The sequence below is a fragment of the Homo sapiens genome, chromosome Y (assembly GCF_000001405.40).
Source record: "Homo sapiens chromosome Y, GRCh38.p14 Primary Assembly".
NCBI lineage: Eukaryota > Metazoa > Chordata > Mammalia > Primates > Hominidae > Homo > Homo sapiens.
Window position 1 is genome coordinate 12,480,637 of NC_000024.10, and position 26,994 is coordinate 12,507,630.

The following is a 26,994-nucleotide window of genomic DNA, read 5'->3' on the forward strand; positions in this document are numbered from 1 at the left end:
TGTCTACAGGGAAGCAGGGGTCTTAAAACTAACCCCCATGAATACTGAAGGGTGACTGTATTTTGCATATTAAACTTTGCCTGATGATACGAGCAGCAAGGAGCCTCTTCCAGTTGACAGCTCATCTTTTAACGTTTTTAGACCCTGAAGTGGAACATTATTATTATTATTATTTTTAAAATATACATATAATCTAGTTTACCCATTTTTAAAGGTTGTGTTGTGTTTTTTTTGTTTGTTTGTTTTCTTATGATAGATTCTCACTCTGTAGCCTCAGCTGGAGTGCAATGACGCGATCTCAGCTCACTGCAACCTCCACCTCTCGAGCTCAAGCAATTCTTATGCCTCAGCCTGCTGAGTACCTGAGACTGCAGGCGTGGTTATGCTTTTTGTATCTTATATAAGAAAAACTTCCTGACACTGAGGTTATAAGACATTTCCCTCTATTTACAAAAAATTGTTTTCTTCTACATTCACATATGTAATCCACCTGTAGTTAATTTTTAAGTATCACATGAGTCCCAGCATGGTAGTTCACACCTGTAATCCCATCACTTTGGGAGGCCAAGGCAGGAGCATCACCTGAGGCCAGGAGTTCGAGACCAGCCTGGCCAACTTTGTGAAATCCCGTCTCTACTAAATATACAAAAATTGTCCAGGTGTGGTGGCAAATGCCTATAGTCCCAGCTGAGGCATGAGAATTACTTGAGCCCAGGAGGAGAAGGTTGCAGGGAGCCTAGATCACACCACTGCAGTCCTGCCTGGGTGACAGAGTGAGACTCAGTCTTAAAAAATAAATATTGCATGAGATTGAGATTTCATCACATACAAGAACAGCCAATTGTCTCAGTCCTGCCTATGTGGAACTTGGTTTCTTCTTTCATTGTTTTATAGCTGCGACCCCTCTCATATGCCAAGACACAATTTAGTCAGTCTGTTTCAAACCCTTCTGAACCTATGCATTGCTCAGTTTCTTTGTCTCTGAGCTACGGTTTTCATTTCTTTCTTTCCTTTTTTTTTTTTTTTCTTTTCTTTTGAGACAGGGTCTCGCTCTGTCACCCAGGCTGGAGTGTAATGGCATGATTCTAGCTCACTGTAGCCTCAACCTCTTGGGCACAGGTGATACTCCCAACTTAGCCTCCTGAGTAACTGGGACCACAGGTGCACACCACCATGTCCAGTTAATGTTTTATTTAATTTTTGTAAAGATGGGGTCTCACTATGTTGCCCAGGCTAGTCTCAAACTCCTGGGCTCAAGAAATACGCCAGCCTCGGCCTCCCAAAGTGCTGGGATTATAGGCCTGAGGCACCACGCTCAGCTCCACATCTTTATTCTAAATAACATTTCCATCTACAGATCCTGGTATTTCAGGGGAAACGCTTTTTAATATCTCACACTTAGATCTTTAAATTTCCACTTTTAACTTAACCTGGGGTGCAGGCTGGGTCAATACTCCATTATCATTCAGGGAATCATTCTTTTACTGGGAAGAACCTCTATTTGGGCCTCAAAATTGTTTGCGCCTTGAAGGTTATTTTGTCAGATTTTGCTAGCCCAGCTTGGCTTTCTTTCCATTGATATTTGCTTTGTGCATTTCTTCCTGGGTATTTTCACTTTCTCTTTGGCATTTTGTTGCAAATGCTTCTCTTGTAAACAGCATGAAACATTTTAAATTGTACCACCTAATTTCCGTCTTTTTACAGATTTATTAAATCATTCAACATCTAACAGAACTAAGGATACTATTCCTACTATTTTACTTTATTTTTCCTTTTTAACTCCTTCCTTCCTAACTTCCATTTACTATTCATGTTTTTTATTTATTATTATAATTTTTTATTTTTGAGACAAGGCCTGGCTCTGTCACCGAGGCTGAAGTGCAATGGCATGATCTTGGCTCACTGCAGCCTCCAACTCTGGGCCTCAAGTGATCCTCCCACCTTAGCCTCCCAATTTGCTAGGACTACAGGCGCTCACTGAAACAACGTGGCTAATTTTGGTATTTAATTTTACTTTTCACTTCTTGTATTTAATTTTATGCTTCATTCTTCATTTTCCTCCACTAGTTCAGGAGTTATACGTTCAATTTCTATTTGTGTGTGTGTGTGTGTGTGTGTGATGGAGTTTCACTCTTGTTGCCCAGGCTGGAGTGCAATGGTGCGATCTCAGCTCACCGCAACCTCTGCCTCCCAGGTTCAAGCAATTCTCCTGTCTCAGCCTCCGAGTAGCTGGGATTACAGGCATGCACTTCCACACCTGGCTAATTTTTTTTGTATTTTTAGTAGAGACGGGGTTTCTTCATGTTGGTCAGGCTAGTCTCGAACTCCTGACCTTATGATCTGCCTACCTTGGCCTCCCAAAATGCTGAGATTACAGGTGTGGGCCACTGCGACCCGCCCAATTTCTATTTTTAACAGGAATATTTAACATTAAAATATCAAAATCTAGCAATATCTAACTACTTTTACTCAGTTCTTCCCTTTCTTATCCACCTGTGAAGGTAGCCTAATCTTTAGAAAATAAGGTTCACTTTATTGTTAACACCAGTTATTATTTTTTTTAAAACAGCTAACAATCACTTAGTTTTACCAGCTTGTTTGCAATGTCTTTGGCTGGCATTGCTATTCACATCCTGCTGTGCTATTCAGGGTGTGAATTTCTTCTTACATCAGAGCATAATTTGGAAGATTTTTTCAGCAAGAATTGCAGAGCTCCTTGTTGGAAATCTTTACACCATCATCACTCTCCAACAGCAATTTAGCTGCATTTTCAATTCTTGCTTAATAGTGAACATTTCCTGAACAACCTATAAACGCCTGTCTATTTACTTCCTGACATCTCTCATGGCCATCAAGGAGTCTGCTAGAAGTCTGGGAGTTATTTCTTTTTCTTTTTTTATGAGATGGAGTCTTGCTCTGTCACCCAGGTTGGAATGCAGTGGCGTGATTTTGGTTCACTGCAACCTCAAGTGATTCTCTTGCCTCAGCTTCCTGAGTAGCTGGGATTACAGGCATGTGCCATCATGCCCAGCTAATTTTTGGTACATTTAGTAGAAACAGGGTTTCGTCATGTTGGCCAGGTTGATCTCAAACTCCTGACCTCACATGATCTGCCTACCTTGGCCTCTCAAATTGCTGGGACTACAGGCATGAGCCACTGCCCTCCGCCAAAGGTTACCTTTTTAATCAAAAAAAATAAATTGAGGTGAAATTTGCATATAAATAACCATTTAAAAGTGAACAATTCGGGAGCATTTAGAACATTCACAATGTTATGCAACCATCACCTCTGTGTGCTTCCAGAACACTTTCATTTCCCCAAAAGGAGACCTAGAATTAATTAAGCAGTCACTCTCCTTTTCCCCTCCAGCCCCTGGCAGTCACGACACTACTTCTGGTCCTGTGGATTTGCCTAGTCTTGAAATTTAATATTCATAAAAATATCCACTATGTGATCTTTTGTGTCTGGCTTCTTTCTCTTTGCAAAATGTTTTTGAGGGTCAACCATTTTGCACAATTTTCAGTGCTTCATTCCTTTTCAAGGCTAAATAATATTCCATTGTGTGGATGGACCACATTTTGTTTATCCATTCCTTCCACTGTTGAACATGTGAGTTATTTCTACCTTTTAGCTATAATGAATAGTGCTGCTCTGAACATTTGCATATATGTTTTTCTTGGAACACCTGTTTTGAATTATCTTGAGTGTATACCTAGGAGTGGAATTGCTGGTTCATAGAGTAATTCTATATTTAACTTTTTTAGTATCCACCAAAACATTTATTCACAGTGACTGTACCATTTTAGACTCCCACCAGCAACATACAAACATTCCAGTTTCGTCACATCTTTGCCAACACTTGTTATTTTCCATTTTAGATTTTAGCCAACTCAGTGGGTACGAAGTGGTGCTTCACTGTGGTTGTGATTTACATTTGCCTTATACCACATTTTGCTTTCAATATCTGCTATCTGGTACAGTTGTTGCATCTCCTTCATACACCCTACAGTTCTGTAAAACTTCCTCAACCATCCCTCCATAAGCATCAGTTCAAGGACATTGCCTCAGTTTTCCCAGCCAAAGAGTCACTCACCTGAGTTTGGCTTCTTGGTGGGTTCTGTGAACAAAGAGAGAAAATAAATGCAATATGCATTGAAGTGTCACTGGAAGCACAAACAAAGGCCATAAATGCCCTGATGAAAGATGAAAAGGGAGTGACAAAGCAATACAAAGTAAATAATATGGACACAAATTCCATGTTGAATTCAGAAAAAAAGCAAGAAAACACCCTTAAAATTCATTAAAAAACAATCAATCCACCCTTGAGGCTATGAGGATGCCCACAGGATGGCTGAAGTAGCTGAGAACATCCAATACAGGTAAGTGAGCCACCTGCCCATAGAGCCACCATAGAGCTGGACGGTGGAGGGCGGGGCAGGGGGAAGGCAAAAGAAAAGATGGAGAAAGACTTGCAGCTTCCAGAATGATGGCTTTTCTCACTTTCTTTCATTCATTCATTTATTCATTCAGCAAATATGTATGCATGGATGTGGATATCAGGTCAGGAGTGCTCACAGTGCAGCCTGTGACTGCCCTGCTCAATGAACCTGGGTTTGCAGTGTGGATGGGCAGACAAGGGCAGGAGGAGGTTTGAGGAAGATGGCTCACAGGAGGCAGAGTCAGCCATAGCTGGGAAAATTGGAGCTTCAGGGCTGTGCAGGCCAGACTTCTTCCAAACAGAGGAAACAGTGTATTTGAAAGCATGGTTTACATAACAGCCTAGCATTGCCTTGATAGGAGGCAGCTAGAACATAGGGGTGTGTGTGTGGTGGGGAAATTCACTGGGAGTGCAGAGACTGCAAAAAGGAGAGCTTGAAGCTCCAAATGCAGCATATGGTTTCACATGTCCTGTATTTTAATTGAAGGTTTCCCATATCCTTTTCTCCCTATTGCCACCTCCCTCTCCCTCCCTGCCCTCCCTACTTCCTTCCTCCTCTCCTTCCTTCCTTCTCTCCTTTCTTCCTTCCTCCCCTCTTTCCTTTTGCTCCTTCTTCTTGCCTTCTTCCACACCTTCCTTTCTTCTTTCCTCCCTGTTCTCAATCCTTTCTTCTCTTCCTCTCTCCTTCCTTCCCTCCTTCCTCACCTTATTCTTTCCTTCGTTTCTTTCTTCCTCCTTTCTTCCCCAACTTTCTGTCTTTCCTTCCTTCCCTCCTTTCTTTCTTTCCTCCTTGCTTCCTACTCTTCTTCCTTCCTTCCCTCCCTCAGTCTTTCCTTATCTCCTCTCCTTTCTTCTTCCTTCCATCCATCCTTCCCTGTCTCTTTCCTTTTCTTCTCTTCTTCCTTCTCTCCTATTTTCCTGCCTCACTTCCTCTTTTCTCCCTCCTTTCTTTGTTTTCTTCTTTTTTGCTTCTCTTCCTTTTCCCTTTCTCCCTCGTCCTACCCTCCCTCCCTCTCTCCCGTCTTTCCTTTCTCTGTCTGCTTTTTAAAATGTAAAATTATAACGATTTTTTAAAATAGTGATACACTCACAGAGTTTCTTAAAGCCCAGGCAGTATAGACAGTGAAAAGTGAATTCCCCACAGTCGCCATGCAGGTGACTGTGGTTCCTATGCACTGGGGCTTCCTTCCCATAAGGAAGGGCTGTCTATGAACAGGCACATGCCTGCCCATTCATGGGAGGCTCTTGGTAGCAAAACGATGCTTTCAAAGATGTGTTTGCAGGCACTGGCAGTCCTCTAGGTGAGCAATGAAAATGTAGTAGCAGGTGAGTGGAAAGGGAGTTTATTTCTGTGATTTTTAAAAAATCAATGTGAAACTCACATATCATAAAATTTGACATTTTAAGGAGTACAATTCAATGGTGTTTCATATATTCACAATATTGTACAATCACCAGCTGTATCTAGTTCCAGAACAGTTTCATCCCCCCAAAAGGAGACCCCATAACCGTGAGCAGTCCCTCCCTTTTCTCCCCTCTTCCAGCCCAACAATCGCTAATCCACTTTCTGTCTCTCTGAATTTGCCTATTCTGGACATTTCATATTAATGGGATCCTACACCCTGTGGCCTTTTGTGCCTGGCTTCTTTCACTGAGCACATTTTCAAGGCTCATGTAGCACGCATCAGAACCCCCTTCCTTTTTAACAGCCAAATCATATTCTGTTGCCTGGAGGGACCACATTCTGTTCATTCATTCATCCCCTGATGGACAGTTGGGTTGTTTCCACCTTTGGCTTATTGTGAATATTGCTGCTGCAAACATGGGTACACAAATAACTGTTTGAGTCCCTGCTCCCAATTCTCTTGGGTATCTGTCTAGAAGTGGAACTCCTGGGTCACATGTCAGTGATCTTTCAGATCAATAACGTCTCGTTCTTTATCTGAGCCTACCAGCCAGCCCCTCCTTCACTATTGCACAGGGTTCTCTTGCAGATATGCCTCATTCTTTATCCAGACCAAACGCTGGTGCTACATACTCGGTCTGAATTTTGGAGATAATCCCCCAATGCTTCCAAAGTGGTTGCAACCACACACCTGCCTCCAACCCCCACCCCTCAATCTGCCTTGACAGGGTAGGATTCAACCTTCACCTTTTCTAACTTCATGGGAGAAATGGCATCTCCATGTTGGGGTGAGTCATTACATTTTCCTGTTGCACTGACAACAATTTTGTATCTGCTTTGTAGGATAATTATTAGCAAAAACATCACAGTGTGCAGAAAACTTGGAGAGAGATGAGTTCCTATCATCTTGTTTTTGGCTTTTTAGGATCAGATCTGGTTATCATTCTCTCTTCCTCCAACAAACACCATTATGCAACTGCACTGGTCAACCAGTTGTTCCCAATGCTAAAGCCCAATGGATTCTTCCTCTGTGTACACAAAAGTTTATTTTTCTTTCAAAATAAATCTTTGCATTGGAAACCAAATCTTTCCCTTTCTCCCAATCACCACTATCAGAATACACCTGAATCTCAATTAGACTCTCTGCCTCAAGCAGGACATTCTCCTGGGTCCGGGATGCATATTTTCAGCTTTCCGTTGAGCCACTAAGTTTCCAGCTGAACTTGGATGGACAAAAAACACAGAATGGGAAGATTCCAGGCCCTAAGTGCCCTGGAATAGAAAAATTCACAGCCTCATGAGTGAAGGTGACCAGAGAAGCCAGTGGGAAAATGGAATGTAGTGTGCTCTGGGAGGGTGTGCGACAATGAGGGATATGAACTGAACTGTAAGAAAAGCAGGTCCTGGTCCAGGCATGCTGGTGCACCTCTGTAATACCAGGATTTTGAGAGACCAAGGTGGAAGAATTGCTTGAGCCCAGGAGTTTGAGGCCAGCCTAGGCAACATAGTTGCCTACAAAAAATAAATAAAAATAACTGGCATGGGGGCACACACCAGTAGTTTCAGCTGCTTGTGAGGCTGAGGTGGGAAGATTGCTTGAGCCAGAAAGTTGAGGCTGTGTGTTAAGTTATGATTGCACCACAGCACTCCAGCTTGGGCAACAGAGAAAGACTCCCATCTCAATAAAATAATATAAAATAAAATAATAAGATACTAGCATATTCCTAAACCACAGGCTTCAGAAGTACAGACCTACCAGGAAATGAGTCTGAGAGTTTCAGAGAGTGTGTAAAGGTTTGTCTCAAGGTGTCTGCAATCTCCTGTGAAGAACAGAGATCTCAAAATGAAGAAATTCCCAACACTGGCCCAACCCAACCCCAAAGTAACTATACAGCTGATGCTGTTAGACTTGAGCTGAAAAAAGAAGGCTCCCCTTGAAATATCAGCTCTTACCAGGGTCAACAAGGGCGTCTGCTAAGTCTCTTTGACCTATTGGGAGTAAACAGGGCATAAGTCACCCCATGATGGAAAGGCCAGAATCACCTTTGTTCCTCACCTCACGCTGCTCCCCTCCTACTGCAAGCCTAAGGTCACCCAGAGGACTCAAACTAACCTGACCATGAGCTATGTGGGAGATGCAACCACCACCTCCACCTAGTCCCAGAGCATACTCATCACCCAGTACAAGACCAGTGTCCCCATTCAGCAGTCAATTCCCCTCTGCCTCCCCAGCCCCTGACAAACACTAATCCACTTTCTGTCTCCATGAATTGTCTATTCTGCAAATTTCATGTAAATAGAATCCTACAATATGTGGTATTTTGTGCCTGGCTTCTTTCACTGAGCATGATGCTTCCGAGTTGCATTGACATTGCAACTTGTGTCAGAGCTTCATTCCTACTCATGGCCAGGGAACTTTGAAGGAAGCTTCTCTCCAAGCACATAGACTTCTCTCCAAGCACATAGACTTCTCTCCTGGACTCTCCCACTCACAGCTTAAGATTGGGATTTCCCTCATACATAAACAAACACATACACACATACACACACACACACACACACACACACACACACAGAGTATAGGTTGAGAGGGGCTGCCTTAGGAGAAGGTGAAGCAGAACAATATGAGGGTCCCGGATCCCTGAGAGACTATATGGAGCAGAGGACTCCTTTGCCACATCCCCTGGATGCAACACAAGGGACAAACTTTTAATTCTTTGGGGGCTGTTTGTTACAGCAGCTAGCCTACACTGACAAATACAGATCAGGAAGCAACCTGTGTGGACAAGCTGAGGTTCCTACCTGATCCAAAAGCAGTTAACCTAATGAATGTGTCTGCAGCAGAGAGATGAGAACATTCACATCTTTGTGACTCATCATTAAAAATATACTGCAGAATTTGTGAGGGTGACGGGTCCCTCTTGCTGACATATATGCACACCTTGCCCTTGTTTCTCCCTTAACCCCTGCAAATACCAACCCTGCAGAGAAAATACCACTGGAGAACTTACCAGGAAGTAGAGGATGCAGCTGGGAGGGCACTGAATCAGCATTCCTATGCATTGAGTTCTATTGCAGTAATGCCAGGCACCAAAGCATCTCATCTGCCAACCTGAGGATGCTGGTATGACCAGCATGCATATTTCCCAAAGGAAGAAACTAAGTTCTGGCAGGTTTAGGGCAAGACAGGAGCAGTCAGAATTTTCAGAATTGTCCAGGGGTGAAAATGTCTTGCTCAAACACTAAGCCCTGGAGGAGGCTAAGCCTGGAGAACCCAGTGAGCTCTTTTTGGTGGGTCTCCCCCACCTCTGTTATCATCTCCCTTGCAGAAATCCATCTGCCTGGATGATGTTTACTCTGGGGTAAGGTTCAAGGGCTCCCATATAGATTCATACAGTCTGTGGCATGACTGCAACCAGATGCCACCAGGCATGCTTTATAGCTCCTTGTGGAGGCAATTAGGGCCTCTCCAGAGCAGAAGGTGCATCCCCAAGCAGGAGTCCCTAAGTGAGGACAAAATTACAAACCTTGGAGGGAAGGGGAACTCTGAGCCCAGGGTGCACACAACAGCCGCCCCGGGCCCAGACTGGAGGCTGGGAGCTGGCGGTGCCATCACAGGTCAAATCCCACACGGCCATTTCTCTCAAACTCTGGGAGCCCCCATGTCCCTCTCAGATGACGTTCTCTGTTACCAGTGATCACTACAGGCTCCCCTATAAGAACAACCTGGCCTGTCTTTGATCTCCCCAGCAATCTCCCAATTTTTTTTTTTTTTTTTGTATATTTGGTTTTTTAGATGGAGTCTCACTCTGTCGCCCAGGCTAGAGTGCAATGGCATAATCTCAGCCTACTCCAACCTCCTCCTCCTGGGTTCAATAATTCTTGTTCCTCACCTCAAGTGATCCACCTGCCTCAGCCTCCCAAAATGGTGGGATTACAGGAGTGAGCCTCCACATCTGGCCTCCTCCAACTCTCTTGGTCATCACCGTCCAAGCTGCTCAGACTGGGCTGGGGGACGGGAGCCATGTCAGTCTCTTGGATCCATGAGACATCTCCCCTCTGAGGCTGTCAGCAGTTCCAGTTGAGACACCTGTCCAGGACCCCAGAGTTAAGTGTCTTGGCTATGCATACACCCTGAGAATTTAGATTCCGATTTAGATTCACCATTGACCAATATCTTTCACTGTGTTATATCTTGGCACATCTCAGCAGTTCCAGGCATCCCCTCAGCAACCACTTAACAATCTCCTCTAATCTCTGCACCCAGACCACTCCCTGCTGTTGCCCTAAATAACCAAAGGCCTCGGTGTTATCTCTCCCCTCCCAGCCCCTCCTCTCGAAATGCTGTTGCATAAAACAGGCAGGTGGCACGGGAGGGCTGCAGACAGCTCGTCTCATCCTGCAGCAGGAGGCCAGGTTGCAGCGGAGGCTCCTTCAGCTTTGAGATGCTCCGGATGACCCTGAGAGATGACAGGAATTAGGGGTGGGGAGGATCACAGAGGAAGCGGAGCCTGGGGTTTTAGGCTTTGCTTGGTTTCCGGGGTTGCACTGCAGCCAGAAGTTGCTGCATGCGTGACTCACACACATGAGGCTGCTGTCGGTCACACCTAGACCTCGTTACATAAACCAGACAGACTCTGGCCAGCATATGGCCGCCTGAGCACTAAGAGTCTCCAGTCTTGCACACCAGGCAGGGCCCCCTGACCTCTCTCCTCTCCAGGGAAGTTATAGCAAAGCCATGGCTGGGGTCCTCATGGGCCTGGAGTAAGACCCCTGGGCTGGGAGATGTCTCAGGTAAACAGCGCTAACTCTGGTGTCTCTGTCTCCAAGGTCGGGTTGCACATGACACTATTGCTTTTGCAGGGTTTATTTTCTTCTGAGAACGTAAGATGGGGCAGGACAGGAGATCTGTTTCTGATTTGTTTTGCTTCTACTTAGTGAACTTAGCAGTTTTTAATCAAACCCTTGTGTTCTGGGATCCCTAAACCCCCAAGAAGAAAGCAATCTCATTTTGTGCTGCGACTATGGCATCCTGGAGATGTAGATTAAGTGGCTCACCTCAGGACCCTTTGGAGCAAAGCCATGTGATGTAGTGCTTGGAGGCATTCTTCTGTAGCCTGGAGTCACCAAATCCCTCTTGAGTTCAAATTCCACCCCTGCCAGATTCAAAGATTCTTCTTATTAGAGTTCCGCCACCCTCTGAATTCTTTACATTGATTCAGACATACAAGTTGTTCAGGTTCAGAAAATGATACCCCCAAATGCAGGCCTTAGTAACAGCCTCAGAAGCAGAAGCTTGTCTTAGAACTTCTCCAGCTCTCCTGTCTCTGAGTCCCATTCTCCTGAGGCACTGTAGGGACGAGAATCCATCTTCCCCAAGGCAGGTCCCAGAAACAAGAACGACTTTTTCCCGAAGCCAGCCATAAAACCTAAAAACAGGACTCTAACTTTCCCTCTATTCTATCTGTACAAAGACTGGCCATGAGGAAATTACCTGACCTCTTCTTGTTTGGGCATCCTAAGAACCCCATTCCAGAGAGGGTCCCGCCTCACACCCAGAAGGAAGGAGTGCTGCTCAGAGAGGCCAAGAAGAATCTAGACACACAGGTCTGGCTGGGTTTCCCCACTCAGACCATTAGCATTGGATCAGGCCCTTTTTGTCCAACCCTATTTCTACACAGCTGTCCAGACTTGGTTGAACTAAAGCATAAAAATGGACCATCTCCCCTTGTATCTGGGGTCTTCATTCTGAATGCTCCTGTGTATACACGTTAAGTACATTTGTTATGTCTTTTCTCCAATTAATCAATCTGCTTCATGTCCATGATTTTTAGCAAATCTTCAGGGGCCATGACCCCACAAAATCAATATAACAAACAACAATTTTGCAAAGCAGAGTGCTGTTGTTGGAATAATAATTACACAATGTCAAGGTCAATGCCCACTGAACATTACCTGCCTCCAGGCAATGGTTGCCACATAGCACAGAAGAGCAATCAGCCCACACCCAAACCTCCACTTCCCATTGAATTATTTACCTCAATCTAAAGAAGAAAATCAGCTCCCAGCAGGCTCTGAGCAGAAAATAAAAAGGAACATACAGAGACTGTCTAAATCCCTGACACCAATTATAGCTATTATCAGCAGAATTTATACACTGCGGAATTGAATGAGAACCAACTGCAATCATTACGGGACGTGCAACCACATTAGTAAATTCAGACAGGCTCTTCTGTTTCATTATTAAATCCAATGTCCTTTGATCTGTGTGTCCAGGAGAAACATCTGCCCTTTAAAGTAATTGTTTTCTTCTTTTTTTTTTTTTTTTTTTTTGGATACAGAATCTCACTATGTTGCCCAAGCTGGAGTGCAATGGCACAATCTCAGCTCTCTTCAACCTCTGCCTCCCTGGTTCAGGTGATTCATGTGCCTCAGCCTCCCAAGTAGCTGGGATTACAGGTGCGCACCACCATGTCCAGCTAATTTTTGAGGTTCCACCATGTTGGCCAGGCTGGTCTTGAATTCCTGGCCTCAAGTGATCCACCTGCCTTGGCCTCCCAATGTGCTGCAATTACAGGTGTAAGCCACCACCTCTGGCTTGTTTTTTATTTCTTTACATAGGATTGTACTGGTTTCCTGTGAAGTGTTCATTTAAACCAATCTTTCTGGGATCAGCTGCTGCAGTTGAAGACAGTGGGTCTTAAACCCATAGAACCCTTCTCACCTTGAGGAAACTCACAGAGGGGAAAGTTCTGAGGTTTTACAAAGCTGGCACAGGGACCCCAAGAAGAACAAATCTTGACTTCCTTTAGGCAAATCCTAAGGTTTCTCTTTGACTCCTGTTCAGCAATTAAAAAATATATATGTGTATATATAGAAAGCATATGATAATTGTTCTTAGGGGTCTGGAATCAGACCCCAGGAGAGGGTTCTTGGATCTTGCACAAGAAAGAATTTGCAGTAAGTCCATAGAGTAAAGTGAAAGCAAGTTTATTAGGAAAGTAAAGGAATAAAGAATGGCTGCTCCCTAGAATACAGCCACTGGTGGCCCATTTGTATGGTTCTTTCTTGAGGATATGCTAAACAAGGAGTGGCTTATTCATGCCTCCTCTTTTTAGACCATATAGGGTAACTTCTGATATTGCCATGGCATTTGTAACTGTCATGGGGCTGGTGGGAAGATACCAGTGAGGACCACCCGAGGTCACTCTCGTCGCCATCTTGGATTTGGTAAAATTTGGCCGACTTCTTTACGGCAAGCTGTTTCATCAGCAAGGTCTTTATGACTTGTGTCTTGTGTCAACCTCCTATCTCATCCTGTGCCTTAGAATGCCTTGACCATCAGGGAATGCAGCCCAGCAGCTCTCGGCCTCATTTTACACAGACCCTACTCAAGCTGGAGTTGCTCTGGTTCAAACACCTCCCACTAACTCAACTTAGGTCCACCGGCCCTGTGCAGTAAAGCCGAACACTGCCATCAGGATTGCAGCGTGAGGAAGTGAGGCGTTTATTCCAAGCTATTTAGAAGGCATCAAGCAACCTCCTTGATGCCTTAAGACCCAACCTCCTGGGTGGCCAGTAGGTGGGGGTTTTCAGTGGCAAGGAGGCAGAGGTTATAGGCAAAGCCATAATACATGCAGGCTATACATTGCTTTGATCTAAAAAGGCGGGATACCTGGAAGCAGGGGCTTAATGTGGATTCAAAGTTTCTCTGATTTGTCATTGGTTAAGGAGGCGAAGTTTGTCTGAGCATTTGGGGTCAGCAGAAATCAATGTTAGTTCTGGCCCATGGGTGTGACTTCCTCCAGCTCTCCACCCTCCATGTCTCTAGGAAGGAATTTACAGCAAATATTGGTAATGAGAATTCAGTTTCTCTTACCTGAGGTCTATAAGCCAGCAGATGGCATTTGTCATTTGGTGGGGGTCTGGGTTCCTGCAAATCAACTCAGGACCATATATTAAGATGTTATTTTGGCTGGGTATGGTGGCTTACACTGGTAATCCCAGCACTTTGGGAGGCCAAAGGGGGTGGATCATCTGAGGTCAGGAGTTTGAGACCAGATGAACATGGTGAAACCCCATCTCTACTAAAAATAAAAAAATTAGGGAGTGGTGGTGCACACCTGTAGTCCCAGCTGCTTGGGAGCCTGAAGCATGAGAATCGCTTGAACCAGGCAGGCAGAGGTTGCAGTGAGCTGAGACTGTGCCACTGCACTGCAACCTGGGTGATAGAGCAAGACTCCATCTCAAAAAAGATGTTATCTTTAGTCTTTACAGGAAACTAAACATCTTGAGGCTCTAACTTCCTTGGCTATTGTTCTACACTACAATCACCTTGCTTATCAAGCCGCTCCATGTACTTCTCAAGGCCAGCCAGGTGCCTGGAATTTCCCTTGAAGGAACTCAAGATTTTCCTTTATTTCCATGCTAGGGAGAGTGCCTGGCAAGCCCCTAAGAGGGGTGTTCTTGCTCCTCTCATTCTCTCCCAGGACGGCATGATTCACAGAGTAAAAAAAATTAAATCATATGACTAGGTTAGGACCGTAGGTTGCAACAGAAAGTGACAAGGAAGGCTGCTGCCCCAGTGGGGAATCTTATTCCCAGGGGGCTTGTTTGCCAAGGGCTGAATTCTACTTTAGCCCCATGGATAAGATGAAATCCATTCTGTTCTCTAATTGGTTAAGAAGTTTATATTTCCAGCAGGACAGGAAATCAAACACAGCTGGAGTCTCCTCCTCCACACCTCAACATGAATATCCAGGGACTCCCTAATGCTCAAGCTCACCGGGGCTGCAGACACCAGAGCTGAGCAGGCCGCCCTGGTGCATGATCTGCTCCTCGGAACCCATGAACCCTCCACGGTCTCAGCATCCAAGCAGCCCAGCCTCTCCCCAGAAGGTCAACCAACTGGCCCGTTCTTGACTTCCCAGTGACCATATTATGCAGTTGCAGATTGAAGCTCTATTACAGCAAACATTAGTAATGAGAATTCAGGCCTCAGTGTATGTCTGTAACACAACAGACAGGGTCTGCAGGGGTCGAAGTATTTTGTCATCAAAGAGGAAGGAATGATCATTCATCATAAAAGGCAAGACATCTTTGGTGCAAGGAAAACTCAAGAAAAATACCGCAGACCATGCAATGAGGCACTGGTCGATGGAGTGTTGTAAACCCGTCTTCCCAGAGTGGCATGCACATGGATCCCTCAGCACATGGGTGACACACAGACTATGCTTCAGCAGGTCTGTCTGGGCCCAAGACACATTGTTTCTCATCAGCTCCCAGGGGATGTCAAGGCTGCAGATCCATGGATCTCACTTTGCAGGACAGAGACTTGGTAATGGCTTCCCAGAGTTGTTACAAAGAAATCCCAAAGACTGGGCCCCTTAAACAACAACCTTGATTCTCACAGTCCTTGAGGCTAGAAGTCTGAGATCAAGCTATGGCCAGGGCTGGTTCCTCCTGAGGCCTCTCTCCTTGGGTTGTAGATGCTGTCTTCTCCCTGTGTCCTCACAGGGTTGTCCCTCTGTGTGTGTCTGTGTCCTCATCTCCTCTTCTTATGAGGTGTCTTAGTCCATTTCAGGCTGCTGTCACAGCATGCCGTAGACTGGGTGGCTTATCAGCAACAGACATTGATTCTCCCACAGTCCTGGAAGCTGGACGTCTGAGATCAGGGTATGGGCAGGGCTGCTTCCTCCTGAGGCCTCTGTCCTGGGCTTGTAGATGCTGTCTTCTCCATGTGTCCCCATGTGGTCATCCCTCTGTGGGTGTGTCTGTTTCCTCATCTGCTCTTCTAATGAGATGTCTTAGTCCATTGCAGGCTGCTATCACAGAATACCATAGGCTGGGTGGCTTATAAACCACAGAGTTTTATTCTTCCACAGTCCTGGAGGCTGGAATTCTGAGATCAAGGCATGGGCAGAGCTGGTTCCTCCTGAGGCCTCTCTTCTTGACTTGTAGATGCCGTCTTCTCCCTGTCTTTACAGGGTCATCCCTCTGTGTGTGTCTGTGTCCTTATCTACTCTTTTTATAAGGACCCCAGTCCTATTGTATCAGGGCACAACCTCCTGAGCTCATTGTACCCTTCTCACCTCTTTAAAGACCCCATCACCAAACACAGTCATGTTCTGAGGTCCTAGGGATTAGGCCTTCAGTATATAAATTTTGGAGGCACAGAATCCAGCCCTTACAGAAATAACTCACTCATTGGAATACAAATATGTTTGTCTGCTGGGGCTGCTGCCATAGCAAAGTCCCACAGACCAGCCTGCTTAAATAGTGGACATTGATTCTCCCACAGATCTGGAGGCTGGAAGTCTGAGATCAAGGTGTGGGCAGGGCTGGTTCCTCCTGAGAACTCTCTCCTTGGCTTGTGGATGCCATCTTCTCCCTGAGTCCTCACAGAGTCATCCCTCTGTGCATGTCTGTGTCCTTATCTCTTCTTTATAAGGTCCACAGTCCTATTGGATCAAGGCCCAACCTAGTGACCTCATTTTACCTGAATCACCTCTTTAAAGATCCCATCTCCAAACCCAGTCAAAATTGGAACTTCCATTTATAAAATTGAGGAGGGTACAATTCGGCTCACAGCAGATTTAAACCATGGGACACGGTCAACTACTACCGCTGGACAGCCTGGTTCAGTGGAGACAGCCAGGGTTTGGGAATCTGGAGAGAGAGTTTCATCTCAGCTACATCACAGGCCTGGCCCATGCCCTCAACAATACTCTTCCTTAATGATTTTTTTTTTTCTGAGATAGAGTCTTTCTCTGTCACCCAGGCTGGAGTGCAGTGGCACAGTCTCAGCTCACTGCAGTGCAATGGTGCAATCTCAGCTCACTGCAATCTCCACCTGCCAGGTTCAAGCAATTCTCTCACCTCAGCCTCCTGAGTAGCTGGGATTACAGGCACACGCCACCAGGCCCAGCTAATATTTTGCATTCTTAGTAGAGATAGGGTTTTGCCACATTGGCCAGGCTGGTCTTGAATTCCTGACCTCAGGTGATCCGCCTGCCTCAGCCTCCCAAAGTGCTGGGAGCCACTGTGCCCGGCCTCTTCCTTAAAGTTAATGTCAGTATCCTTTTCTTCATTGGCAAACTCAGGAGAACCATGATTCTGCTGAACACACAGGGCTGCGGGGAGAGGTGGGTGAGATAGCTTAAGGAAAGAGATTTACAAAACTAGACGTTTTTCAGCATGGAGGAACTGTCATTAAATATATAGAAACCCTGGCCGGGCGCGGTGGCTCACGCCTGTAATCCCAGCACTTTGGGAGGCCGAGGCGGGTGGATCATGAGGTCAGGAGATCGAGACCATCCTGGCTAACAAGGTGAAACCCCGTCTCTACTAAAAATACAAAAAAAAATTGGCCGGGCGCGGTGGCGGGCGCCTGTAGTCCCAGCTACTCGGGAGGCTGAGGCAGGAGAATGGCGTGAACCCGGGAAGCGGAGCTTGCAGTGAGCCGAGATTGCGCCACTGCAGTCCGCAGTCCCGCCTGGGCGACAGAGCGAGACTCCGTCTCAAAAAAAAAAAAAAAAAAAAAAAAATATATATATATATATATATATAGAAACCCACCCAGCTGTTAAGTGATGATTCCGGAAGTCATGACATTCCTGTGCCCTGAATGAAAAAGAAAGGCTTCTTGGGAAGATCTGTGGAGCGCCAGGTTTACACAAGAATTGTTCCATCCACCTTGTGACATCTGCCTCAATGCCTCTCAGATCCTAAAGAGTGTGAGACTCAGACCAGAATCCAGCCACGTGCAGATTCTAGATCAGCAGGTCTGTGTGGGGCTATAATTACGTTTTATTGTAATTAAAATAAAATAAGAAAATATTTTTTAGGAAAACATCAGGAGGCATCCATTTGGGTTTAAGGAAATTGTCTTAGGTTGAAAAGTACTTTCCTCCTTCCTTCCCTCCTTCCTTCCTCCCTCCTTCCTCTTTCTCTCTTGCCTTCCTTCCTTCCCTCCATCTTTCTTTCTTCTGCTTCTGCTTATTCCTCTTTCTCTTCCTCTTCTTCCTTATCCCATTCCTCTTCCACTTCCTCCTTCCTCCTCCCTCTCTTCCCTCTTCCTCCTCTTCCTCCCTGCCGCTCCTGCTGCTGCTTCTTCTTCCTCTCCTCCTCTCCCTCCTCCTCCTTCTTCTTATTCTTCCCCTTGTTCTTCTTACTCCTCCCCTCCTCCTCCCCTCCTCCTCCTGCTGCTGCTTCTTCTTCCTCTCCCCTTCCCCCTCCTTCTCCTCTTTCCTCCTCTTCCCCTTCTCCTCCCCTCCTCCTTCCCCCTCCTCCCCCCCTTCCCCCCCTTCCTCCTACTTCTTCGTCATCTTATTCCTCCTCCTCCTTCCCCTCCCCCTTCTCCTCCTCCTCCTCCTGTCCCTCTTCCTCCTCCCCCACCTCCTCCTCCTCCCCCACCTCCTCCTCCTCCTTTTCCTTCTCCTTCTGACAAGGCCCCGCTCTATTGTCCTGGCTGCAGTGCAGTGGTGCAATCATAGCTCACTGCAGCCTTAACTCCTGGGCCTCCCAAGTAAGGAAAACAAACATGTTTTAGATAGATAGGTCAATAGATAGGTAGATGGGATAGATGATAGATGCATAGATAGATACATACATACATACATACATACATACATACATACATACATAGATACATAGATTAGATACATAGATATTGAAGATAGATATTGGAGATAGACAAAGATAGATGAACAGGTAGATAATAGAGAGATAGATAAACAGATAGATGGATAGATGATAAATAAATAGGTAGACTTTTGAGATAGATGAAAGACAGAGATATAGGTAGATATGGAGTTAGATATAAATGTATCTTATTGGTTCTATTTCTTTGGAGAACCTTGACTCATATACATATTAACAAACATCAAGAAGAAGAAAATTCTAAAAATCACCCCGCTCCCCTATCATGCAGAAAGCAGCATGTGCTGTTTTTTGGGAGATAGATTTGCAAACTTTTTTTTTAGTTTTTTCTACATAATTTTGCCACATAAAAATACGAACATTTTTGTGGATGAGATGACTCCTCTTGGGTTTTTAAACATCTGAAGCACTCCCAGAGGTTGGGATTCACAGACTACAGCAGAGTTTCCCAGCCTCAGCACCGTGGCTGGACACATCGCTCACAGGTTTAGGTGCCTCTGGCCCCTGATCCATCGGGGGAATCCCCAGGAGCTTAGCCATGTCTGGCAGAGCCCCACCTGCAGGCAGAACCCCACTTTTCTACCCCCTGTGTGCCAATGAGAAAGAGGAAAATGGCTGGAATGAGGGGGGCCCTCACAGGAAGGGTCAATTGTTATCCAAGAAAGGGGAGACATTTCTTGGACTCCGTGCTTGTCTGGTAATTGGCTCCAATATTTGCCAGATGTCTTCACACTCAGGTGCCAAACAGCCATAGACTTTTTCTGCACAGCCCCTTCCTACTCCAACAAGGAAACTATGGAATGCTTAGCTTCTGGGTTATATGTGCCATGGCTCTATGCCCTATGGGAAAAAGATCCTACAAGTGCATTCTAAAAGATCCATTTAGAAATGCCCAGACAACTATACCGTGCCTCCTATACTGTACAGGACAACTATACCTCCAGACAACTATACCTCCAGACAACTATACCTCCTACAGTGTACAGGAGCATGACATTTCCAATCTGTCCCCTTTCGCAGGGTTAGAAGTTACAACTAACAGCAGGTTCTCCGCTACAGTACTAATGACACTTGGGGCTGCATAACTCTCTGTCATGGGTGCTGTCCTGTGCACTGTAAGGTGTTGAACAACATGTCTTATCTCCACCCACCAGATGCGAGAACACCCATCCCAGTGCAACTGCCAAAATTGTTTCCAGACATTGCCAAGTGTTACTTGAGGAACACAATTATCCCTGAGTAGCAGAAGAATGTCATAGATAGATGATGGACTGCTAGATAAATAGATAGATTGATAGAGGGAGGGATAGATAGATAGATAGATAGATAGATAGATAGATAGACAGACAGACAGATACATAGATAATACAGATGAGAGTTGGATACAGAAGTAGGTATAATGATAGATAGATAGATAGATAGATAGATAGATAGATAGATAGATAGATAGACAGACAGACAGACAGACAGACACACACATAGATAATACAGATGAGAGTTGGATACAGAAGTAGGTATAATGATAGATAGATAGATAGATAGATAGATAGATAGATAGATAGATAGATAGATGATAGAAGACAGAAAATCATTGACAGATTAGGTAGATGATAGGTGTATATAATAGAGACAGATAGGTCGATGGATAATGGTAGATGATAGATAGATCTAGAGATAGGCAGACAGACAGACAGGATCTCTCATGCTAATGCAAGATTCCTCAGCCTCAGTCCTACTGACATATGAGGTTGGATCACTCTTTTCTGTGGGGCGTCCTGTGCACTGCAGGGTGTTGACCAGCATCCCTGGGCTCCACCCACTAGATGCCAGGAGCATCCCTGCTATCAGTGTGGCAACTCAAAGCCTCAAGATATCAACAAGTGTCCCTGTGGATAAACATGATCCCTGGTTGAGAATGGCTGGATGGCAGCATCTGTATCTGGGGGTGTCACCTTGGGCCTGCTTAGAGTGAATGACACATCACCGAATTGGAGAGCACAGAGCTGCCTCCCCACTGTGGCAGTGATCCATGAGACTCCACCCAAAGGTAACCACATGGTTGCACACAGAGTCATCATCTCTTAAAAGAAGCACATAGCTCCGCTTGGGCATCACCTGGGGTGCTTCTTAAAATGCAGGTCTCCCAGCTCCCAAATGCCTGACCCACACCTGCTGAATAAAGACCTCAGTGGGTGGGGACTGGGTGGCGCTTTTAATACCTCCTCCCTTCAAGGTGATGACCTGCACATCAAAGACAGAGAATCACTGCACGAAATGGCTACATGCTCGAGGTGACAATGGCAGGGAAATGACCCATTTGTGGTTCCCTTTCCACACCTACAAATTTGCTAGATCCTTTGCAGGGAAGGAGGGGGCAGGGAGAGAGGGGACACCAGAATAGAAACAAGTCAAGAAAAATATAACTGAGACGTAGGATGAGGCTGGCGTGGTTTGGGGTTCTGTACGCTGCCATGGTATGGCTTCTCACCTTAGGCGATCATCATAACGTTTTTTTCCTTTTTTTTTTTTTTTTTTTTTTTTTTGAGATGGAGTCTTACTCTGCCACCCAGGCTGGAGTGCAGTGGTATGATCTCAGCTGATTGCAACCTCCGCCTCCTGGGTTCAAGCGATTCTCCTGTCTCAGCCTCCTGAATAGCTGGGATTACAGACACCCCCCACCATGCCTGGCTAATTTTTGTATTTTTAGTAGAAACAGCGTTCTGCCATGTTGGCCAGGCTGGTCTCAAACTCCTGACCTCAAGTGATCCGCCCAACTCGGCCTCCCAAACTGCTGGGATTACAAACATGAGCCACTGTGCCCGGCCCACAACTTCCCCATATCCCAATTTTTAGAAGTAAACTAAACAGCCTGTGACAACCTAATGCAGCAAGTAATGAAAAATACTTGGCACAATCCTCACTTACCTTTACTCAACAGGAAGTACTCAGAAATATGATGTGCTACTGTTCAGAGGTCTGAGTGATCTTTTTCATAAGTCTTTTCTAGTCTTTACATAGAAACACAGCTCTATACAAATGCATACACATTTTAAGTCATGTTGATAAGGACAGGAGGCAGGAAGATACTAGTTAGAAGAGGGCAGTTCCCCAGCAAAGGCCCCGCCCTCAAGCCTGGAACCTATAGTCCTAAATGGAAACAGGCATTCCTATTTTTGTGCCCAAATGTTGCCTTTTGACCCACCATGCCTCCCTGTCCTGTACCCATATAAACCCCAAACCCCAGACCCCATGTGAAAACAGACAGATGAGCAGAAAAGGCGAGGAACCAAAGAGCAGCACAGCAGAGAAGGAGAGAAGAGAAGGAACAGCTGAACACTGAGAGGTGTTCAGCTGGGGTGGTTGAAGAAGAGATTAGCTGCAGAACAACTACACTCCAGGGGAAGATCATCTTCCCACTCCATCCCCTTTCCAGCTCCCCAACCATCCCACTGAGAGTCACCTCTACCTGGCAACAAAGTCTTCTGCATTTACCATCCTTCAGCTTGTTCATGTGATCTGATTCTTCCTGGATGCCGGACGAGAACCCAGGTACCAAGACGGCACTGAGCTGGCTAACACTTAAGCCACGTGCGGATGGCAGAGCTAAAAGAGCACCGTAACACACCCACTGGGGCTTCGGGGGTCACAGGCACCCACCCCTAGATGTTACCGTGGGGCCCAGAGCTCAAAAACACTCATGCTAGCTGCTGCACCTGCCCATCTGCAAGTTCTGCGTCCCATAAGAGGTTTCAGTATGTGGCGGTCAAAGAGATGAAGCACACCCCTGTCGCACATTCTGTGAGGGGGGTCAGGGAACTCTCAGGTTTTAAATCTGATAAGGGAATAATGTACAATAGACTTGGAAGAGACTGTCTTAGCTGGTGTATATCCTGGACATTATCCTTTTCTTTTAATTTATTTTTAATTGATACATAACAGATGTACATAGCTTCAGGATATATGTAAAAATTTACTACATTTATATAATTTGTAAAGATCAAATCAGCCTACTTGGGATATCCATCCACCTTAAATATTTGTCTTTCCTTCATATTAGAACCATTCTGACTCTTCTATTTTGAAATCTACAATAGATTATTGTAAACTAAAGTCACCCTACTGATTATGTAAACACTAGTGCTTATTTCTTCTATCGAACTCTGTCATTTTCTTTTTTTTCCCTCAATAAATGACATTTCATACACTGCCCTTTGGGGTTTCCACTTCTGGTTCTCAGCTTCTTCTCAGCTGTTAGAAGACCTGATTTTGTCTCGTGCTCCTTCATGCCCCTCTGGATTGGATGGCGAATACTAATTAAATACAGTGGAAATGTAGGGCTGCTAAAATGTCAACCTCTATTAGGAATATGGCCGTCTTGCTATTATCTTCTTTTGTATTGATAATTTAGTAATCATCATAATGATTTACAGCATATTAACGATTAACAATATTCTGTCTTCTTTATTTTATTTTAAGTTCCGGGATACGTGTGCAGGACGTGCAGGTTTGTTACATAGGTAAACATGTGCCATGGTGGTTTGCTGCACCTATCAACCCGTCACAGAGGCATTAAGCCCCACATGCATTAGCTATTGATCCTGAACAATAATCTGTTTTCTTAAGTACTTCGTAGCAATCATCGCACCAGCCTTGCAGAATGTTTTTGGGATCTTGGGAATGTGCTCCATTTCCAGCTGGTGATGGCTGGGGATGAAACAGGGTCGTCTGTGCATTTAACTAATTTTTACCCAGGACATACCCAGCTGCTGCATGTACATCATCTTATTTACACAGAAGGGCCCTGATCCAGACCTCACTTTCTTTCCAGGCCCTCCTGTAACCTCCCTAAGGGGCGCTACTTGTGTCAGAGGCACTGGAACCAGAGCGACTCCATCTTGAATAGGGGCTGGGCAATAGAAGGCTGAAACCTACTGGGCTGCATTCCCAGATGATTAAGGCATTCTGAGTCACAGGATGAGACTGAAGGTCTGCACAAGATACAGGTCATAAAGACCTAGCTGATACAACAGGATGTAGTAAAGAAACCGGCCAGAACCCACCAAAACCCAGATGGTGATGAGAGTGGCCTCTGGTTGTCCTCAGTGTTACCCTCCCACCAGCACCATGACAATTACAAATGCCACGGCAATGTCAGGAATTCTGCATGGTCTAAAAAGGGGAGGCATGAATAATCGAAGCCTTGCTTAGCATATCACTAAGAAATAACCATAAAAATGGGCAAGCAGTAGCTCTAAGAGCTGCTCTGCGGAGTAGCCATTCTTTTATTCCTTTACTTTCCAAATAAACTTGTTTTCAGTTTACAGACTAGCCCTGAATTCTTTATGGAGCGAGATCCAAGAACCCTGTCTTGGCGTCTGGATCTGGACCCCTTTCCTGTAACACTTGGAGGAGGGATGATTCTGATTTTCAGAAGACAAGGCTTGGGATAGAGCAGGATGCTCACTGGAGTCTTCCCAGACAGAGCTACAGGACAGCTCAGATTCCGCTGCCGGCTGCCCCCGTCCAAATCCTCAGTGCCTCAGTTTACCCATATCTGTGATGGTTAATACTGAATGTCAACTCGATTGGATTGAAGGATACAAAGTATTGATCCTGGGTGTGTCTGTGAGGGTGTTGCCAAAGGAGATTAACATTTGAGTCAGTGGACTGGAAGGGGCAGACCCACCCTCAATCTGGGTGGGCACCACCTAATCAGCTGCCACTGTGGCTAGAATATAAGCAGGCAGAAAAATGTGAAAAGAGACACTGGCCTAGTCTTCTGGCCTATATCTTTCTCCCATGGTGGATGCTGGAACATCAGACTCCAAGTTCTTCAGTTTTGGAACCTGGACTGGCTCTCCTTGCTCCTCAGCCTGCAGACGGCCTGTTGTGGGACCTTGTGATCATGTGAGTTAATACTTAATAAACTCCTCTCTATATATATATTTCTATTGCATTAGTTCTGTCCCTCTAGAGAACCCTGACTAATACACCATCTGTAAAATGACATCAGGCACGACACTCCCGTCATAGGGTTGAGGGACAATCAACTAAGTTAATCCATGCCTAGTGCATAGGAAGTGCTGCTGTCATTCAAAGAATTTAGCGCAGGACAGGGTGTGGTGGCTGATGCCTGTAATCTCAAGATTTGGGGAGGCCAAAGCAGGTGGATCGTTTGAGCTAAGATGTTCAAGTCCAGCCTGGACAACATAGTGAGATCCCGTCTCTACAAAAATTTTAAAAACTAGTCAGGCATAGCGGCAAATGCCTGTAGTCCCAGCTACTCTGGAGGCTGAGGTGGGAGGTTTGTTCGAACCCCTGGGGTGAAGACTGCAGTGAGCTATGATGGAAACACTGCACTCCAGTCTAGGTGACACAGTGGGCCCCTCCCTCAAAAAAATTAAAACACATTAAAAAAAAGAAAACATTTTATGTCATAAGTGCATTTAATACAACTACCCTACCAAATGCCATAGCTTAGCCTTACCTGCCTTCAAAGTGGTCAGAACACCAGCCAACGGATGGACAAATCATCTAGCACACAGTCAACTTTATAATGAGGTGTTGCATACCTCACATAATTTGTTGAATATTGTACTGAAAGTGAAAAACAGAATGGCTGTATGGGGCCGGGCATGGTATCTCACATTTATAATCCCAGCACTTTGGGAGGCCGGTGGATCACCAGAGGTCAAGATTCAAGACCAGCCTGGCCAACATGGTGAAACCCAGTCTCTACTAAAAATAGAAAAATTAGCTGGGTGTGGTGGTGGGCGCCTATGATCCCAGCTACTTGAGATGCTGAGGCAGGAGAATTGCTTGAACATAGGAGGTGGAGGTTGCAGTGAGCTGAGATTGTGCCACTGCACTCTAGCCTGGGCAACAGAATGAAACGACACGACACCTCAAAGAAAAAAAAGAAAAGTTGTATGGGTACTCAAAGTACAGTTTTAGTTTGTACTGAATGCATACCAATTTTACACCATTGTAAAGTTGAAAAATCTTAAATTGAACCATCATGTCAAACCATGGTAAGTTGGGAACTGTCTGTATCCGCACTTTGTAGAAGTTGATTTGCCCAAGGGCATATGGTTAACCTTTGGCTCTTACTGTGAATGATACAAACTCCTGGAAGTACTTTTCTGGGGAGGTGGGTTTGCTGTTGAACATCTCCCTGTAAACAGAAGCTAATGAATGCACGGCCGCATTGTCCACTTACTAGGTGAGATCTGAAGACAGCACAGAATAATAAAAAATTCTCACTGCAGATCCTAGACTATGTCCACCAGGATCTATCCATCCCGACACCGCCTCCGCCCATAAACAACCAACTCCAATCTTAATGACGTCCATGTCTTTAAATAGGATAAACAGGAAATGCTGCCACAGGGACATCTGAATGATGTGTTTTAACTCCTAACAGAAATACTTCTCTCTCTTAAGATGCGCCCAGGCGTTCCCTTCTCTGAAATCGCCACATTAAAATGACCAAAGAAACTTACTCAACCTTTGTTCAAATCCTATACTTTATGAGTTCGTTGGAGTTTCTTAAAGAGGTCCTCGCACGGAACTAAAAAATCTAATCTTGGAGTCTGGGACAGCCAGTCTGCAAGTTTATATTGAAGTTTTTGATGTGAACAATTCAGGTGGTTTTAATTTGCAAGAATGAATGACAGTGTTTAGGAAAAGGTTTAAAAATCTGAACAAATGCAACCCTTCCGGCAAACGAATCTCTGGTAATCTGCCCCACGGGATGAAGTAGTTTCAACTCTACTTTTACTGTATGGAAATGGTCAGAACTAATTTTTAAAATCAGAAAGAAATGACTGACATTCCCCACACACCCAGTCATGCTTGAATCATGGAGTTAAATAGGTCATTTTTTAAACGCTTGGGACACATGGATCAAAACAGGACAATATGGCGAATATCTAGATGGTATCAGCTAACATCCTGCCCTTCTGGATCTAATTCCCAGATTCCAAATGGGAGCAGCCCGTCTTCTCCCTCCCCTCTCAGCCACCCATCGCTCTTAGTCTCCTTTCTAATCCCATTGGGCAAATTATCCCCATTCACTTCATAGCAACTCCTTTGGAAAGAGTTTCTTAAAGCAAGAATAGAAAAATCCACGCCCAGGCAGATCTCCCTCAAAGCAAAATGCCTCTTACCTCGGGCGTGCATTAGAAAACACAGGAACGCAAGACAGGGAAGTCCCCACCAGCTCTCCATGGTTTGCTTCAGGATGCAAGAACCTCAGTGGACTCCCCAGCCAAGGGGATTGTGAGATCCAGCCTCTCCACCCTCCTGTTGTTGACTTCTGGTCTCCCAGCTTGGAAGGAAGGGAGGCGATGTCTTCAAGTGGAAAATATGAGCCGAACTGCCAGAAACAAATGGGCTCCAAGCTCAGATCCCAAACTCCACAGCTGAAAACCTGTGGGACCAGTGTAGGCACACTCAGTCGTGTGTCGGAGCCAGTCTCCCCGGGCTGCC

The 26,994-nt window shown here is 45.3% G+C and overlaps 2 pseudogenes; both read right to left on the minus strand.

Moving 5' to 3' along the window:
* LOC124905301 (glycoprotein Xg-like) overlaps window positions 1-26,973 on the minus strand; it is a 69,005-nt pseudogene extending 42,032 nt beyond the window's left edge.
* On the minus strand, window positions 3,843-26,712 carry XGY1 (XG Y-linked 1 (pseudogene); annotated as a pseudogene).
* Window positions 26,974-26,994: the final 21 nt, after the last annotated feature.